This window comes from Homo sapiens, chromosome 2, assembly GCF_000001405.40.
Source record: "Homo sapiens chromosome 2, GRCh38.p14 Primary Assembly".
NCBI classification, from domain to species: Eukaryota; Metazoa; Chordata; class Mammalia; order Primates; family Hominidae; genus Homo; species Homo sapiens.
In genome coordinates, this window is record NC_000002.12 from 208,429,292 (window position 1) to 208,447,031 (window position 17,740).

General features: G+C 35.6%; 1 protein-coding gene across 9 annotated transcripts in view; it reads left to right on the plus strand.

Moving 5' to 3' along the window:
• Positions 1-17,740, plus strand: part of PTH2R (parathyroid hormone 2 receptor) — a 134,815-nt gene that overhangs the window by 69,600 nt on the left and 47,475 nt on the right. For 8 of the 9 annotated variants that reach the window (NR_163994.1, NR_163993.1, NR_163991.1 and 5 more), the window contains 5 exons: positions 8,246-8,356; positions 8,469-8,590; positions 13,073-13,170; positions 14,057-14,246; positions 15,443-15,596. Coding sequence is in view for 5 of the 9 variants with exons in the window: in NM_005048.4 (NP_005039.1) it covers positions 8,246-8,356; positions 8,469-8,590; positions 13,073-13,170; positions 14,057-14,246; positions 15,443-15,596 (675 nt within the window). In the remaining 4 variants the exon portion in view is untranslated. The remainder of the gene's footprint in view (positions 1-8,245; positions 8,357-8,468; positions 8,591-13,072; positions 13,171-14,056; positions 14,247-15,442; positions 15,597-17,740) is intronic. The other variant, NR_163992.1, reaches the window with a different exon arrangement.

Genomic DNA, 17,740 nt, shown 5'->3' on the forward strand with positions numbered 1-17,740 from the left:
CTGAGATATATATATCTTAAAATATGCTACTATGATGATGAATATTTCAACTTTTCATTGAAAAATTCACTGGATATTTTTACTTCATATATTTTGAAAATATGTTAGGAGGTTATTTAAGTTTAGAAATATTAGATTTCCTGGTGAATTAAACCTTTTGTAGATATACAGTAGCCCTCTTTATCTCTAGGATACTTGTCCTTCATATTTAAAAAATATGTACAATTTAAAATTACTATATTTAAAAAAATTTAAAACACTAGTTTCCTTCTTTCTTGGTTAGTATCTGCCTTGTATATCTTTTCCAATCCTTTAAAAATGTTTTAATTGTGATAAAATATACATAGCATTAAATTTACCATTAAAATTTTTTTCATTGTACTGCTCAATAGTGTTAAGTATATTCGCATTGTTGTGCAATCAGTCTCCAGAAATTTTCCATCTAAATTGACACTCTGTACCCATTAAATAACAACTCATATTTCCTCATTCTTTTATTAAACTTTTCTGTATATTTACATTTCAGGAGTATCTTTTACAAACAGGACACACATAGAGTTTTTCTCATTATCCATTCTGATAATCTTTGTCTATTAACTGAAGAATTTAGCTCAACTACATTAATTGTAGTTACTAATATACAGTATTTGAGTTTAATTCTAAAATCTCATGTGGGCTGTCTGTTTCACCAGCTCTTCCTCTGCCCTTCCACTTCCCCAGTTCCAACTCTCTTTTGGATTGATTGAGACATTTTTCTCATTTTATTCCATCCCCTGCCACCGCCAACTAGTATGGAAGATATGTATTATATTTAATTCCTTTAGTGGTTATCCTAGAAATTTTTCACATATATTTAATTTCAGAAAGTTTAAAGTTTATCATTCTCTTCCTTTTTCCAAATAATAAACACAATTTGAGATACTTTAATTGCTTCCAAATTATATGCTCTTTAGTTCTACCTTAATTTTATGTTATTATAATTTTTCTTCTTTGAATAAAATGTCCTTTATTTATATATTTTTGAATCTTTATGTTAGAATATGTTTATAGTGATCTCAGTTTTTGTCTGTTGGAAAATGTCTTTATTTTGGTGTCAACCTTGAAAGATACTTTTTCTGGACATATGATCCTTGGCTAAAAATTATTTACTTCTATCACCTAAAGATACCATTTTTTTTTTTTCTAGCTTCCATTGTTATTACTGACAAATCAATTCTCAGCCTTTGTTGGTGATTAGCTTTTTCTGTCTGGCTTCTTTTTTTTTTTTTTTTTTGAGACGGAGTCTCGCTCTGTCACCCAGGCTGGAGTGCAGTGGCATGATCTTGGCTCACTGCAAGCTCCGCCTCCCGGGTTCACACCATTCTCCTGCCTCAGCCTTCCGAGTAGCTGGGACTACAGGTGCCTGCCACCACATCCGGCTAATTTTTTTGTATTTTTTGTTTTTTGTATTTTTTTAGTAGAGACGGGGTTTCACCATGTTAGCCAGGATGGTCTCAATCTCCCGACCTCGTGATCTGCCTGCCTCTGCCTCCCAAAGTGCTGGGATTGCAGGTGTGAGCCAGCATGCCCGGCCTCTGTCTGGCTCTCTTTAAGAACTCTTTAACATTGATATTCTGCAGTTTCACTCTGTATCTAGGTATAGATTCATTGGATTTCCTGAATCTGTACATCTGTATCTTTATTCGGTGATTGGAATGTTTTAGTTATTTTGCCTCTGAAATTTTGCTCCCCTTTATTCTCTCATCTCCTTCTGGAACTTTAAGAAGACAAATATGGGACCTACTCATACTACTCTTTGTGTGTCGATGTCTTATGTATTTTCCTTTTCTTTGTTTCTTTACTGCTATTTTGGTAATTTCTTCATATATATTTTCCAGTTTGCCAGCTCTTTGTTCAGCTTTGTCTAACAACTGTTCAATCCATCCATTAGTAAATTTTGATTATATTTTTATTTTCTGAAGTCTTCGTATTCAATTTTGATAGTCTCTTGCTCCTTCAATATTCTTTCAAATCTCTTCTTTTTTTCCTAGACATGCTTTATATGCTGCATATGATAATTGTAATATCTATAGACTGCTGGTCAATGCTGACCACCACACATGGTGGCTTATTTCCTTGTGTGTCTAATGATTTGTGATGAGCAACTCATGAGGTTCTTGTTTAAAGAACATTTCTTTAGAGAAAATTTGTGTTTGCAACTGCAAGGTGCCTAGATGAATTATTGACCTAAGTCCAATTTAAACTAAATTTAGATCACACATAAATATAGGCTTGTGGTTAGAAATGTTTAGAGAAGAATTTCCCCTCCACTGTTTTCTATTCCAACTCCAAATGTAGCCAAGAATGACACAAACCAATCTCTTTCTGAAGGATGGTTTTATTTCTTGCCCACCCACTTAGTGGGAGAAGTATCATCTTTTGGGGATACTGACTTTCTAGAGGGGTTTCCTGTTCAATTTCTCCACCCCATCAGGCCTCAGGCTCTTCTTTTGTTACCTGAACACCACCAAAACTCTAAGTAAACAGGTCAATAGAAGCCTCTAAGGTAAACCCCAAATGTAGAGCTTGCTGCTCCTATATTTCTGGCCTACAATTTATTCCTTTACTTTACAGCCAGCTAAGCCATATTTAAAGAAAGAAGGCTTTTACATTAATATAGCCTTTGTAGGTATCTTGTACTAAGAGGAAGCTTTCTGAATGGCTAGTCTAATAGTGTCTGAAAAGGGAATCACTCGTGCAACTTCTAAAGAATGCTGATCCTAATATCTTAGATATGGAAATCTACTAACAAAGAGATACATCATCATGAAAAAATTTGAAAGCATTATTATCTGTGATGGCTGATAAGCTGTTTTCTGTGAAATCTTATAAACTGTTGAGCTAGAAGGTATTTCAGAGATCACCTAGGCCAACATTATCATCGTCAGTGTCCCTTTAACAGTTCAACAAATATTATTATGTGCCCAGAGTAAGCTCTAAAAAGTATGAATAAGTTTCTGCCTTTTCCCTGTGGGGTTAATGGCTTAATAGGGACGGCAGGCATCTTTCAGGATGGTGTATAATTTTAACAACAGAGGTGTTTTAACAACTATAGAACCACTGAAGATGAATCTTAATTAATCAGGGAAGGCTTCCTGGAAGAATAATTATCTCATCTTAAAAGTAAAGAAGTAGGAATTAGATGTGATGAGAGGAAAGTAAGACTGTATTAGTCAAAGTTCTCCAGAGGAACAGAACTAATAGGATATAAGTATATGTGAAAGGGAGTTTATTAGAAAGAATTGGCTCACATGATCACAGGGTGAAGTCCCATGATAGGCCATCTGCAAGCTGGGGAAGAAAGAAGACAATAGTGGCTCAGTTAAGTCCAAGAGCCTCAAAAACAGGGAAGCCTTCAGTCCATGGCCAAATACCTGAGAGCCCCCAGCAAACCACTGGTGTAAGTCCAAGAGTCCAAAGGCCGAAGAACCTGGAGTCTGATGTCCAAGGATAGGATAAATGGATGGAAGCATCCAGCACAGGGGAAAGATGAAAACTCAGCAAGCCAGCTTATCCCACCTTCTTCCCCCTGCTTTGTTCTAGCCAACTGGAGGGTGCCCACCCTCAATGAGGGTCCACTAACTTTCTCTCCCAGTCCACTAACTCAAATGTCAGTCTCCTCTGGCACCACCCTCACAGAGACACCCAGAAACAGTACTTTGCCAACTATCTAGGCATCTTTCAATCCAATCAAGTTGACCCTAATATTAATCATCACAAAGACATTTCAAAAGAGGAAATAGGATGGGTCAAGATAAGCAAGTGTGCACCAGTCACACACCATATGAATTATACATAAAAGAATAAATTAACTGGTAGTAAACTTAGGTCACATCTAAAATTTGTGAAGATGTGGATGATGTGAAGCATGTAGATAAATAAATACTGAAAGAGAAAAAACACTTCCTTCGAGATCGTTATTTGCATGGAGATCTTTTTCTATGCAAATAAGACAGAATTAAATGTGGTCAAACTTTGGTTTACCTTTCAATTAAAATGTCTAATTATATATAAATTGACTCAAGTGCTCTTTACTTTAAAATTGTAAAACACTGGAATGACATTTTGAATTCACTAGCTAATTTAAGGAATTTCCATTTTTACATTCTTCTAAAATCAAGAGATGCATATCAAAATATTTAGGAGTGAGCTGTCAGACTGTCTATACTTTAGAAATCTGTAGCAAAAAATAAATTAGATTAACTATTGCAAAATATTAGCAGCTGTCAATTCTAGTTTGTGAGTATATGATTTTCTGTTTTATTTAAGAAAGATTTTTTAAATAAAAGAACATAAGAACATAAAAGTTTTCCTAATGTTTATGAAAGAGAGAAAAGGATATATAAATGCAAATATTCAGCTCTAAAACTATTCAAGTACTTAAAAAACACAGACCAAAATATTATTGATCCAAAATATTATTATTTCAAGTGTGGTCACATTTCGTTTGAAAAGAGAAAAACGTTCTCCAAATTTTAGATTGTTCTGTGTAAATGTCATGGTTTGACAAGCTTCACTCATAATTAGTTTGTCCTGGCACACAAAAATAATTACAGAGTTATAATTAATGGTGCTAATTTATAAAGAGAGATGGGGAGCCATTAGTCAATTAATTAGGTCCTTGCCAAATAATGAAAGTATTTACTCACATTGGATGGCAATCTGATCAAGGAGAGAATGCTAGTTAAGACCTCTATTTTTGGCCAGGCGCAGTGGCTCGTGCCTGTAATCCCAACACTTTGGGAGGCTGAGGCGGGTGGATCACCTGAGGTCAGGAGTTCAAGACCAGCCTGACCAATATGGTGAAACCCTATCTCTACTAAAAATACAAAAATTAGCTGGGTGTGGTGGCGGGTGCCTGTAGTCCCAGCTACTTGGGAGGATGAACAGGAAAACTGCTTGAACTCGGGAGGCGGAGGTTGCAGTGAGCTGAGATGGTGCCACTAACTCCAGAGTGAGACTCTGTCTCAAAAAAAAAAAAATCTCTATTTTCTATGTGAGATTCATGGCTTCTTCAATTTTTTCAACCTTTTGTGAACATTTACTATTCTCTTTGTCAAAGAGCAACCAAAAAAATAAGCATGATCTACAGAAATATTTTGGGAGAGTGTCAGTTTTCTAAAAATTGGGCAGCATGTGTGAAGCAGTATCTTGCAGGGAACGAGAAAGCTGTCCCTTTTAGAGCATGAGGAAAAAAAATTTCCATAGCAGTTTTAAAACTATATAATTATAGAATAAACTGGCCATTGGCTTTTGCTAGAAAATAGCATATGACATTGCAGCATACATTTTGGAGGGATATCTAATTACCGAGAAATAAGAATGTGTGTCCAGGTCCAATTTATGTAATTACACAATAGATACTGGGCACATATCGACTGGACAGTTCAGATATATAAAGACATGTGGCTTGTTAATGAAAAGGTGAATTGAAAGATATCAAGATATACTGTTGAGGGCAAAGTTGTTGGGAGAGGTGGAGTCATTACATTCTGTATAAATGAAAAGGAAAACATACAAACAACAAAGCAGATAATGGTGGAAAGAGAGGCAGGTGGAGCTGTGCACCAGAAGCAGGAGCCAGTGGGATGGGCTCCTGCCTTGCCTGTGATATGTAAAGCTCGGGCTTTTATTATGTGAGCAAAGCAAGGCTTTTTCTAAGAAAAATGTTTTTGGAAAGACATTTTCTTTTCTTATTGCTTCGGCAATGCACAAAGCAAATCAAGTATTTGTTTCTGTGTGATATGGTGGATGCTAAGAAGTTAATTTCAGGTTCATAACTGAATTTATTTTTCTGTAGAGATCAGTGTCTCTGTAAGGTTCTGTTATGCTGACTGTTCAAAACTAAGCAAACAACTTGACAAAATGAACATTAGCCAGAACAAAAATCCTCAGCACAGTTAGTGTAACTGGTAACTAAAAAATTGAGAGAGCTATAATGGGTAGTACTTGTGGTGGCAGAATGATGGCCCTCCAAGGATGTCCATGCCCTAATACCTGCTGTTGTGCCTGTGTATGCTGTGTCACATGGCAGAAGGGACTTTGCAGATGGAATTAAGGTTATGGACCTTAAAATGAGGGAGCTTATTCTGGATTGTCTGAGTGGGTTCCATGTGATCATACGGGCCCTTTAAAGTGGAAGAGGAAGGCAAAAGAATCAGAGTTGAAGCAGAAAATGAGAGAGGAGGAGAGATTAAACATGTGAGAAGGACTCAACCTGCCTTGCTGACTTCGAAGATGGAAGAAGGGGGCCAAGCAGCTTCTGGAAGTTGGGAACAGCTCTCAGCTGACAGCTGTCAGCAAAGAAATGGGGACCTTGGTTCTATGTCTGCAAGGAGCTGAATTCTCCCAACCACCCAAGTGAACAAGGAGACAGATCCTCCCTCAGAGCCTCCAGAGAGGAATGCAGCCCTGCCCAGCCCTTGATTTTGGCCTCACGGGTCTACAAGGAGAGAAACAGCTGAGTCCAGCAGACTGTTGACCTACAGAAATAGAGAAAAAACAAATTTCTGTTATTTTAAGCTGTGAAGTTTGTGGTAATCTGTTACAGTAGCAATGGAAAACTAATACAGCAGTCACTGAAGGTATCTATTTTTGAGAAGTTGGGGTATAATTTGGCTGACAGGCTGTCTTCTTGGAAGTTCAGTTCATCACTAATCGAAAGGAGTCCTGCAAGAGCACAGAGAGTTGACACTGAATATTTGTTAATCCTCCACCAAGTGCCAGGTGCATTCCCGGAATGTGGCTAAAGCTTGAGACAAAACAGGCAAAAATCTCAAGTTTCTTAAATCCTGTGACTTAGGAATATAATAATAAAATAACACCCAATATTGGAAGGTGATGAGAACTCAGGTGAAAAATACAGCAGGAAAAGGTATAAGGAAGATTTTGGGATGCAATTTTAGATAAGCGTGTTTACTCAGAAGTTGACATTTGAGTGAAAATATGAAGGAGGTAAGGGAATAAGTCTGTCTGAGTGAGAGGGCAGACCCTATGGGCACTTCAGGCATTATAAAAACTTATGTTTTGATAATGCCTGTTGGAGCTGTTGGAGGATTTGGGGCTATTGTGTCAAAAATAAAGGAAAGAAAGTGTGAAGCAGGTTTACTGTGCACTAGTTACCAACTTGTCTGAGTCCAGTGAGGCAGAATACCCAGCACATGAGTTACATGAAACGGGTTTATTACTCACAGGTAGGCAGCAAGGAACAACAGAAGCCTAGGAGTCATTGGGAACTGGTGCCCCACGGTTCGGGAAAGCTGCCTGGGCTGGATAGAATCTCAACTGCTCATGACCTGCGTGCACCACAGCAGAGGGACCCCATAAAACAGCCCAACCCTGATTACATACCTCAGGGAACACAGAGTGCACTGGGCTAATGTCTGGAGACATCCTGTTTCTGGGAGGGCTTGGAACTGAGTCTGGACTGTTCCAGGCAGTTCCTCACCCCTTATCTCAGTATGTTGCATTCCCAGCACATTCTATAGTTATTCTTGAGAACTACAAAAAAAAGGGACAGAGAGAATTGGGTTCATCCAATGCCACCCAGAGAACTGTCCTGCAGAAAGAAATGTTGGAATCAGGAGCGCCAGTCATAGACTGTTGCACTCATTCAGGTTGGAGATGAAGTGACTTGGACTATCGTGGTGACAGTAGATGTTGTGAGAAGTGATGAAGTTCTGGATTCATCTTGAGAAGAGTAGAGTTCATGAGAATGTTGTTTGAGATGAATGTTAGACTCAAGGAGAAGTACTGGTAAAAAGATAAACCTGAGTCTTGCGGCTTGCCAGTGAAGTGCGCTGCTTCAGGTGTTATGATCTTTAAAAACAGTTTTCAAGAATCTAGTGTAAAAATGTAGTTACAACTTTGGTGGTCAGAAAAACTTTGTCACAGAAGTGGTTCACAATGATTTCCAATGTTTCTTATAAATTAATTGCTATAGCTACCATAACTAGTATGCTGGAATAATTTGAATATTTTTGATGTATGCAAAGCAAATGTTCCTATGAATGAGCCTTTGATGAAGCACACAGATGAATTTTGGGACATTTGCATCATATCTATTCTATCTAGTTTCAAAAACTACCAATTTGTTTTAATTTTGCTACAGACAATGACCTAAAATTTTGTTTTTTGAATGCATTTGTTCTCTGGTTCTAACTACATTTTTCTTTGTTTATTTGCTTTAATTTTTTTTTCTCATTAGAAGGTAATTGTTTCCCTGAATGGGATGGACTCATTTGTTGGCCCAGAGGAACAGTGGGGAAAATATCGGCTGTTCCATGCCCTCCTTATATTTATGACTTCAACCATAAAGGTATTGAATTTTTCTAAAATGATTAATTTAAAACAAACATTTACTTGTCCATTTTCTTGATAATAGATTCTAAGGGAACTGAGCGATCTCAGCATCTTTCATGTCTTTACAGGAGTTGCTTTCCGACACTGTAACCCCAATGGAACATGGGATTTTATGCACAGCTTAAATAAAACATGGGCCAATTATTCAGACTGCCTTCGCTTTCTGCAGCCAGATATCAGCATAGGAAAGGTAATGGAATTTCTCTATTTGTGAATTCCTAAGGGAAAGCAGAATAATATTTTAATGCAATTCTCAATTGCCAGCCATTATGTATAAAAACCCTCTTATTCCACGACACAAGGATCATAAAAGATAAAAGCAATGTTGCAATCTTTTCAGATGCATATCAATCATTCTGGTATTTTCTATAGCCTAGAGCTACCTGGCTGAGATACATACATCCATACTTATACCTGTGTGTGTGTTATGTTTATTATGTTAGATTACATTGTTTACTTGCATTATATTATGCTATATTATGAATAAAAATCCCAATAGGTGGTTAGTAACATGATTCATGATTTCTTCTTAGTTACCTATGAATGGCTACATCTCATCTGTATATTCCAGAAGGACCTTTGCATTTTAGAGGTGTATTTTCCACCTCATAAGATTTACCAATAGATGATCTCATTAGCGTATAAAAGATTAGAGTTTTAGGATTAAAGGGGAGCAAGGGGCATCATATAAATCTTCCAGCACAATATATTAATTTCAGAGATGTGAGTCAACTGAGAACCCGAGATTAGGTGTTGGTCAAAGTGACATAGCTCAGTGGCAAGAGGGTTTAATGTAGAGCCCTTATGTCCCAATTTCACATCAGTGCTGTTTCCAATATAGAAATCATATATAAACTTTGGGATATTCTAGAGAGTTGCTTTTAAGTTATAAAAGTTGGTTTAAAAGTCATGTTTAAATTTATATCACTTAGACCTCGTGAGTAAAAATGCATGATGATATATGCATATGATGCTAAGAGTTAATGTGATAAATTAGCTTTATGAAAACCCTGAGAATAGTCCATCACACATAAACTCTTCGAATTTTTGACATATTTCTTTATGTCTGGTGATGTTTTGGGGAGGTGGGGGGAGAACAGCAGCAAGAGAAGTAGTGAGTTGAAGGTTTCTTTGATTTTGCATTAATAGAACTTCCTGTCTTAACTTTCTTCCTTAATGAGTTCTTTAGGAATTGGCAGAAAGACTTTCAGTTATCTGTTTAATTGTTGAAAAGCTTCTTAGATAAAATAAGTCAATATGAGGAGATTGTTAGGTACTCTACAATGGAACTAACATAAGTAACATCAACATTCAGTTAAGCTAAAATGCTTCAAAAGAATTTCAGTCTCATTGATAGAAACAAACATTCACTGATACTTAGTGTACTCTGTGATTATCTTCATTTTTGCATTACATGATGAAAAATGCAAACCTTTCAGAGCTGTTAATGGCCATTAAATTAAATCATGGTTTTATTTATATTGAACTCTAATCTTATAACCATTTTCTGTGATTACTGTGTATTTTAAGAATAAAAATAACTAAAGATGGTTGATGTACTCAATATATATACTAGTTTATGTAAAATGATTTAAAAGTTAATAGAAAATTTGAAGAATTGTGTTAGTATAATTTAATCTCCTTAATTAAAAACACAAAAAATGTTTTCTATTGTTTGCAACCTTTAAGTAATAATTTGGAAAAACCCAAGAAAACAAAATATGTCTAATAAGAAAACTAGATATCTCCTGAAGGTTTGACACACAGTAGGGCAAAATGATATTACTTATTTGTGAGATATAAATTATTAATAGTTAATAAAATTTTTTTATAAGGAAGGAAAGGCAAAAAACTAAAAAAGTGTAAATTTAGAATAAATGCCACATTTTTATCAGGAAAATAAGATATTTTTGAGCACTATTTTTTTCTCTAAATTTTTATATAATTGGCTTGGCAAAATGAGGTAATTATTTTAGTTAAAAAAAGGGAAGGAATTCTAATGATGTCACAAGATTATTAAATTTTTTAGAGTGTGATATTTAAAACAGTAGCATACTGTAGAAACTACCATATAATACATCTCCTATCCAAAGGCTAGATGTACTTTTGGAAAGCCATTTAGCAGTATATATTTAAAAACTTCAAAGGAATAATATTTTTTGATCTTATAAATTTACTTCTAAAATCAAGCATAAGGATTTAGAATGGGGGAACTGAATGGAAAAAATGTTCATTGAACAAATAATTATAATGAATGTTTCAACGAGTTTAAATTTCTAATGAAGAACTGGTTAAATAAGCGCAAATATATGCATATAAATTTTATAAAGAGTTTGCAGCCTTGGGCAATTATTTTGTCACACAAAAAATTCAGGAATAAACTTGTATATAAATTGAGAATGCAGATGCTTAAAATAATAGGCAATGCTTCACAGAAATAGAATGAAATGAAATAGATGAAGTACTAGCTGGGCATAGTGGCCTGTGTCTGTAGTTGCAGCTACTTGGGAGGCTGGGGTGGGAGTTCAAGATCAGCCTGGGCAACATAGGGAGATGCCATCTCTTAAAGTCATAACAATAACAACTTCAAGAAATATGTGAAGTACATGAAGTACTAACAGTGTTTCTTTCTGATTGGTTAGAATTTGTAAGATTTTTTTTCTCCTCTCTTTTATGTTTTACACATTATTCAAATATTTTCTATGAAAAGTTTTACTATTTTATTAAGAGAAAATAATAAGTAATTAATATTTTTTTTAAAAGAAACAAGAGGCAAAGTCTTCCTGCTTCCAGTCAGATTGTAGGCAGTCGCAACAATAAGTTGGCTTAGATGCAAAATTAATAATTTGTAAACATGAGTTGAGGATGCCAAGAAATCTAAATGAACTAAATTCCAGAAATGGGCAAGCCCTTCCTATGAGAGAAGAGACCCATGGCTGCGTGTATCCCTAGGACCACAGTAGAAGGGGAGAAAACAGGCTATTGAAGGGGACAAAGAGAAAAGAGACAAGCTTTTATACCAATAGCAGACAAGGGCTAGCATAAAGAGTTAGAATCCCAAGGAGTAAGCCCTAGTCTTAGTAAGCTATAATCCACCAGGCAATTCTTTGCCGTGAGGTCTTCACCGAGTGCATGGGGGAAGTATGCCAAAGGCTGGGGCAGGCAGAGGGCTCAGAGAAATTCCTTGAGATGTGCACAGGGCTCTCACAGAGTGAAAGGCAGCAGTTGGCTGAAGGCATGGATCAGGACAGAGGAGCTGAGAGGCATCCCTTGAGGCACAGGGGGCCCTCACTAACTGCATGACTGATGCAGCCCACAGGCCAGGAGAAGGGCAGGGAAGCTGAGACAAATCCCCTAGAGATGCATAGTTCCCAGTGAGCACAAGGCAGCAGCCAATTGCAAGACCAGGCCCCTGAACTTCTGAGTAACCACCTTCAAGTTGGGGTTCCCACGAACCCCTCTTTAGGCTTGATTAATTGCTAGAACAGCTCACATAACTCAGAGAAACACTTACGTTTCCTATATATTATTATAAAGGATATTTTAAAGGATACAAATAAACAGCCAGGTGAAGAGACATATAGGGCGAAGTCTGGAAGAGTCTGAAGTGCAGGAGCTTCTGTTCCGGTGGAGTTGGGGTGCACCACCCTTCTGGTAAATGGATGAGTTCTGGTTCACCTTCCTGCAAGCCTCCGTAAATTCAGCTGTCTAGCAGCTCTTTATATCCCATTTTCTTGGCCCTTTTATGGAGGCTTCATTGGATTAGCCTGATTGAAACATGGAAAACGCTTGTTGAGTTTCCCCATTTAGTCTATTAGTATTAGATTACATCCTTTTTGTCCAATCACATTTCTACACCATTGTCCAATCTTAAAAGATCCCATACTGTATAATTCTACTTATATGACATTTATGAAATGACAAAATTATAGAGACAGAAAACAGATTAATGGTTGCCAGGTGTTTGGCATGGTGGAGAGGAGGAGGTGTCACCGTAAGGGACAGAACAAGGAGAACTTTGTGTTGGTGAAATAGTTCTGTACTTGATTACAGTAATGGTTACAAAAATGTACATATGATCAAATGACATAGAACTATAAATATGCGTGTCGCATCAATATTAAATTTCTGGTTTTGATATTTTAGTAAAATTACATAAGATGTAAGCTTTGGAGAATACTGGGTGAAGGGAACCTGGGGCTTTTCTTACACTATTTTCTACTTCTTTTGAATCTATAATTATTTTAAAACAAAATAATTGAAAAGGAATGAACTATTTATACATGTAACGATATCGATGAATATAAAAAACAGTATGTTGATAAAAAAGTATATACTGTAACATGTAATCCTAAGAAGTCTAAGAATAGTCAAGAGGTATATGAAGTATGTGAACAGAGAAAGCTAATTTGTGGTGACAGATATTGGAACAGTGATTTCCTGGGGGTGGATAGTGGGTGTTTTTTTGACTAGCAAGGGGCACAAATGAACTTGGTTTGTCAAAACCTATCAAAATGCTCACTCCAGATCTCTACATTTTATTGCATGCAAATTACAGCTTAAAAAAGTTAAAGAGAATTAGAAATAAGATTCCAAAAATGACATACTATTTCTTTGCCAGTTTATTGGTAAAATAGTCCCATATCATACATGAGCATCTCTTCCCTTGCAGCAAGAATTCTTTGAACGCCTCTATGTAATGTATACCGTTGGCTACTCCATCTCTTTTGGTTCCTTGGCTGTGGCTATTCTCATCATTGGTTACTTCAGGTGAGTGATGCCCATCACTTTTTCCATGAAGGGGCACATTGTCTTTCCTATCCAGAGAAGACATAGCGGTCTCACAATATTTTCCAAATGTTTTCCTCAAATGCAAGTTTTTGAATTCAGCCTAATGTTATTATGTTATTTGACAATTAATTTTTCATGACAAATTCAGGGTTCTTTGTTTAAAAACTTAAAGTATCAAAGTAGTATGAAACCTTTAACCCAATAAGTATGTACTGAAGTATATTTGTTGCAAAGTAAGACAGCATCGAATTGAATGAGTTCCCGAGAGATTTTGGTGCTATTGGACAAAAATTCATCTTAAATAATCTCCCAAATTATTGGATACCAGCACATAAAGAAATAGTATTTATTGCTTTTGTTATGGTTTATTTTTTATCCACTTTAACATGTGTCCAATTCCATTCAACTTAATCGAAATCATTACAAAATTTTGAGCACCAATTCAGTCACCCTTCATATACTGGGATTTCACATCCCCAGATTCAACAGACTGTGGATGGAAAATACTCAGAAAAAAAAGTTTGGTTGTGTTCATACTGAACATTTACATACTTATTTTTTGGGTCATTTTTCTCTAAACAATACAGTATAACATCTATTTACATAGCATTCACATTGTATTTGGTATTATAAGTAATCTAGGGATGATTTAAAGTAACAAGATGATGTACATAGGTTATGTGCAAATACTGCACTATATCATATAAAGGACTTGAGTATCTGCAGATTTTGGAATTTGTGTGGAGTCTCGAACCAGTCCCTGCTGGAGGGGAGCAGGCTGGTTGGTGGTGGCAGCAGTCGCACTGGGTGTTTCCCCCATTTTTAATTTTATCCAAATTTAAATACTGAATATTTCTCTCCGTAGACGATTGCATTGCACTAGGAACTATATCCACATGCACTTATTTGTGTCTTTCATGCTGAGAGCTACAAGCATCTTTGTCAAAGACAGAGTAGTCCATGCTCACATAGGAGTAAAGGAGCTGGAGTCCCTAATAATGCAGGATGACCCACAAAATTCCATTGAGGCAACTTCTGTGGACAAATCACAATATGTAAGTGTTTTCACCATTTTCTCTCATTACTAATTTGTATAACACTACAAATAAGTACAATTTTACAGTCCACTAAACATGTTAACTTGCTTTTACTTATCTCTGAACTAACTAAAATGGATTATCAATTTGTATAGTGATGTTTTCTCCCTCAATTCTGTCCTTTCATGTCTAATCAATCATTTTATTAAAAGTTCTTGGGTTTTTTCCTCAAGAATATTCTGGAATGGAAACTGCAAAATGCACAAGATTGGAATGGTATTTGGCATAGGCACCACAGCAACTGTCATGGGGCTCACCACTTTCGAAAGTAAAAATCCCATCAGCAAAACCAGAAGCTTGCAATTTAAAAGCCCATGATATTTAGTCCCTTTATTGAGTACTCGAAGACTTGTTCCAATATAAAATTTTATGTTACTTGATTCTGCTCTTGAATGTCCTGGTGGTAGTAAATAGATTGATCCAATAATTCACTCAATTAGATCATTGAAGCAATATATCTGAAATTAGGTATAGTAGATTGATTGTCTTGATGGTGTGAATTAATACCCTGTCTGGATCTGTGCCTTTGCCCTGTAACTTTATAGTCCCTGCTGATTCTGATTCTGGGCTGGCACTGAGACTTGCTTTCCCCAACAGAAGGAAGTGGACGCAATAGTGTAGCAGTTGAGAGTAGACCTCTACTCAGTGAGCCTAGCCGAGACAAGCCTAGCCCAGATCAGCCGAACTACCCAGCCCATCCACAGATTTCTAAGATATGTTAAATGTTTATTGTTATAAGTCACTAACTTTGGGGGCAGCTTGTTTTGCAGCAATAGCTGCATAAAAGACCAAAATAAAATAAATTCAAGCTAAAAATATGGGTAACATTTTCTTCTTTATACTTTTCTATATGTTCCTAATTTTCTGTGATGGTCGTGTATTATTTTTATAAAGTGAAAAAATTGAGAAAAGGTGATTTTTTTGGTAACTTCTTAAAGAAAAAACTTATTTTAAAAATAGAATCAAGTTCATAGTCTTGAAAAATGATGCATTAAAATAACTGTTTTGGCCTCTCAACAGTTTTGACTTTACTGTGTAAAGGAGACATATTAGCCTGAAAAAGAAACTGAAGACTTGTTTTTTAGTGGTCTAATGTTGGCATCCAGTACAACAAAGTGTTCTAATATGATGAAATTCTGGTTTATTTGTAATAGATCGGGTGCAAGATTGCTGTTGTGATGTTTATTTACTTCCTGGCTACAAATTATTATTGGATCCTGGTGGAAGGTCTCTACCTGCATAATCTCATCTTTGTGGCTTTCTTTTCGGACACCAAATACCTGTGGGGCTTCATCTTGATAGGCTGGGGTAAGACATTTATATCTCTGTTCCTTTCAAACTGGATGATGCATTTGATGACATTCTGTCATGCCCATCATTAGCATCCCTACAGCCATTTTCCTGAAACAATCCCTCCCATTCTTATTTTTTATCTCCCTTTTATTGTTCTATTCTTAGACAAAAATAATTAAGATCAAGTCTATAATTCTCCCAGTGGTGACAAACTTTTAAAGTTATTTGTGGATAGTGTTCTTAGGCCAGATTCTTGAGAGGATTCTTTGGAGGAAATATAAGAGAACTCATTGTAAGCCATACACATGTACAACTAAATGTCAGTGTTCTGCTTTATCAATAATTTCATCTTAAAATTTTTTATTTTTGAATTTCTAAGCTATAATGATATATTTTTGGTTTGTATTTCTAGGTCATATGATGAGAATGCCAGAAATGAATTTGTAGGACCATCCTGACTGTATTTAACAAATACAAATTACAAACTAATTATGTGGACTTACCATGTGTTTTAGAAGGAAATTATTCAAATTACTTCTGGCATAAGTAATTAAAAAAGTATTCAGTTCTCATTTCAAAAATGATTTAGCAGTACAAGGGGGATTACTGGATTAGACACTGACTCAACATGACATGGAGAAAAGAAATTGTTTGCTTGTTAAAAATTAAGGGAAATTAAAACTCATATGTGGTGAAAATTGAGAAGAGGTTGGAGATTAACAGTTGCAGATCTCAATTGCTATTTTAATATTTAAATTAGGAGGTGCTCAGCATAGGAAAAAAATTCACTAAGTAGCTCACGACTAAATTTGAAGGTTTTTTTCCTCTCCAAAATAAGAATATGCCTTTGCCTATTTTGCCTTAACTTTTTTTCTTAACAACTGAAATGTGAAGTAAAGAATGCTGAACTTTCTGCTAGCTAATTAATAACCTTTAAGAAGACAAAGAAAATCAATTTACTGTTAAACTTATTTATTATGAAATAATCATCACAATTAAAGTTGTATTTTTGTAGACAGCTCGTCTGTTTTAAGGCTCTTTCTTATCTTTGACTAGCAGTTACTGAAAATAAAAAAGATAATATTTTGCTTTTTTAGGATCCTTTGGAAATTTTCTTGACAATTTGTGGTAGTTTGCCTTCCTTCAAATCAAAATTATATCTGTGAACCCACATAATTATTAGGAGTTGGAAAAGGTGTTGATAGAAAATTCAATAATGAATGTAGACATTTGTTTATTTGGGTTATATTTTATTTTTCAAATTTCTTCATCATTGCTTACATTTTTAATAAATTCTTTTTTTCTCTTTATTTATGCCTTGATAGCTACCTGGTGCAAGCCTCCTTATTAACTCTTTATTTGGGCTTTATCACTCAGTCTGTCTCTCCTTACAGTTAGGAGTTTGTCCCACCGAATCTCAGAAAACACAAATCTTTCTATGAAAAAGAGAATGTGAAGAAAAGCTAAGGTGCTAGTGAGCTTCTATGCAAGTATGGTTTCTTACCTTCCTTTACAGCTTTTATTAATTTGCCCACAAAAGTTTAGGCATAGAAATGACAACTACAATAGAAATCTTCATTTCGTGAAATAGTTTGAGAACACACATGAAAACCGGTTGACTTTTCATGGAAACTGTCTGTGAACGCATTTTACATGCCACATTTTGCTCACTTAATTAGCCACAAGTCAAAAGAGTAATAACTATTCTTCATGGAATTATGGTTCTACAGCTAGTCTGTCTTCTGACTTTCTCTTTGCATTTCCATTCTTTAAAAATATACTCTAGTCTAGGGCATATATAATGAAAATAATAGTAGTATTCTTTTAAGATTCTCTGCTCCTAAAACACAGCTATCACTGAATGAAGTACATATCAAAATCTGTTTGATTTATGGATTGTCTTTCTCTTATCTCAACACTGAGAGACTGATTTAAAAACATTATTTATATATCTGACTCATTTTTCTAAATTCATTTTCTAAATGATCAAAAACATTATATATGCCTTGCAGGATACTTTGCTAGAATAACTGAGAGCGAGTCCAATTTTATACTTACTTCCAATGATGCCATTTACTGGCTTCATTAGAGCAGAGAACTTGCTTAAATTCCTTTGTTACTCATTTGGACCCAAATGTTTATAACTTTAAGCTCTTTTC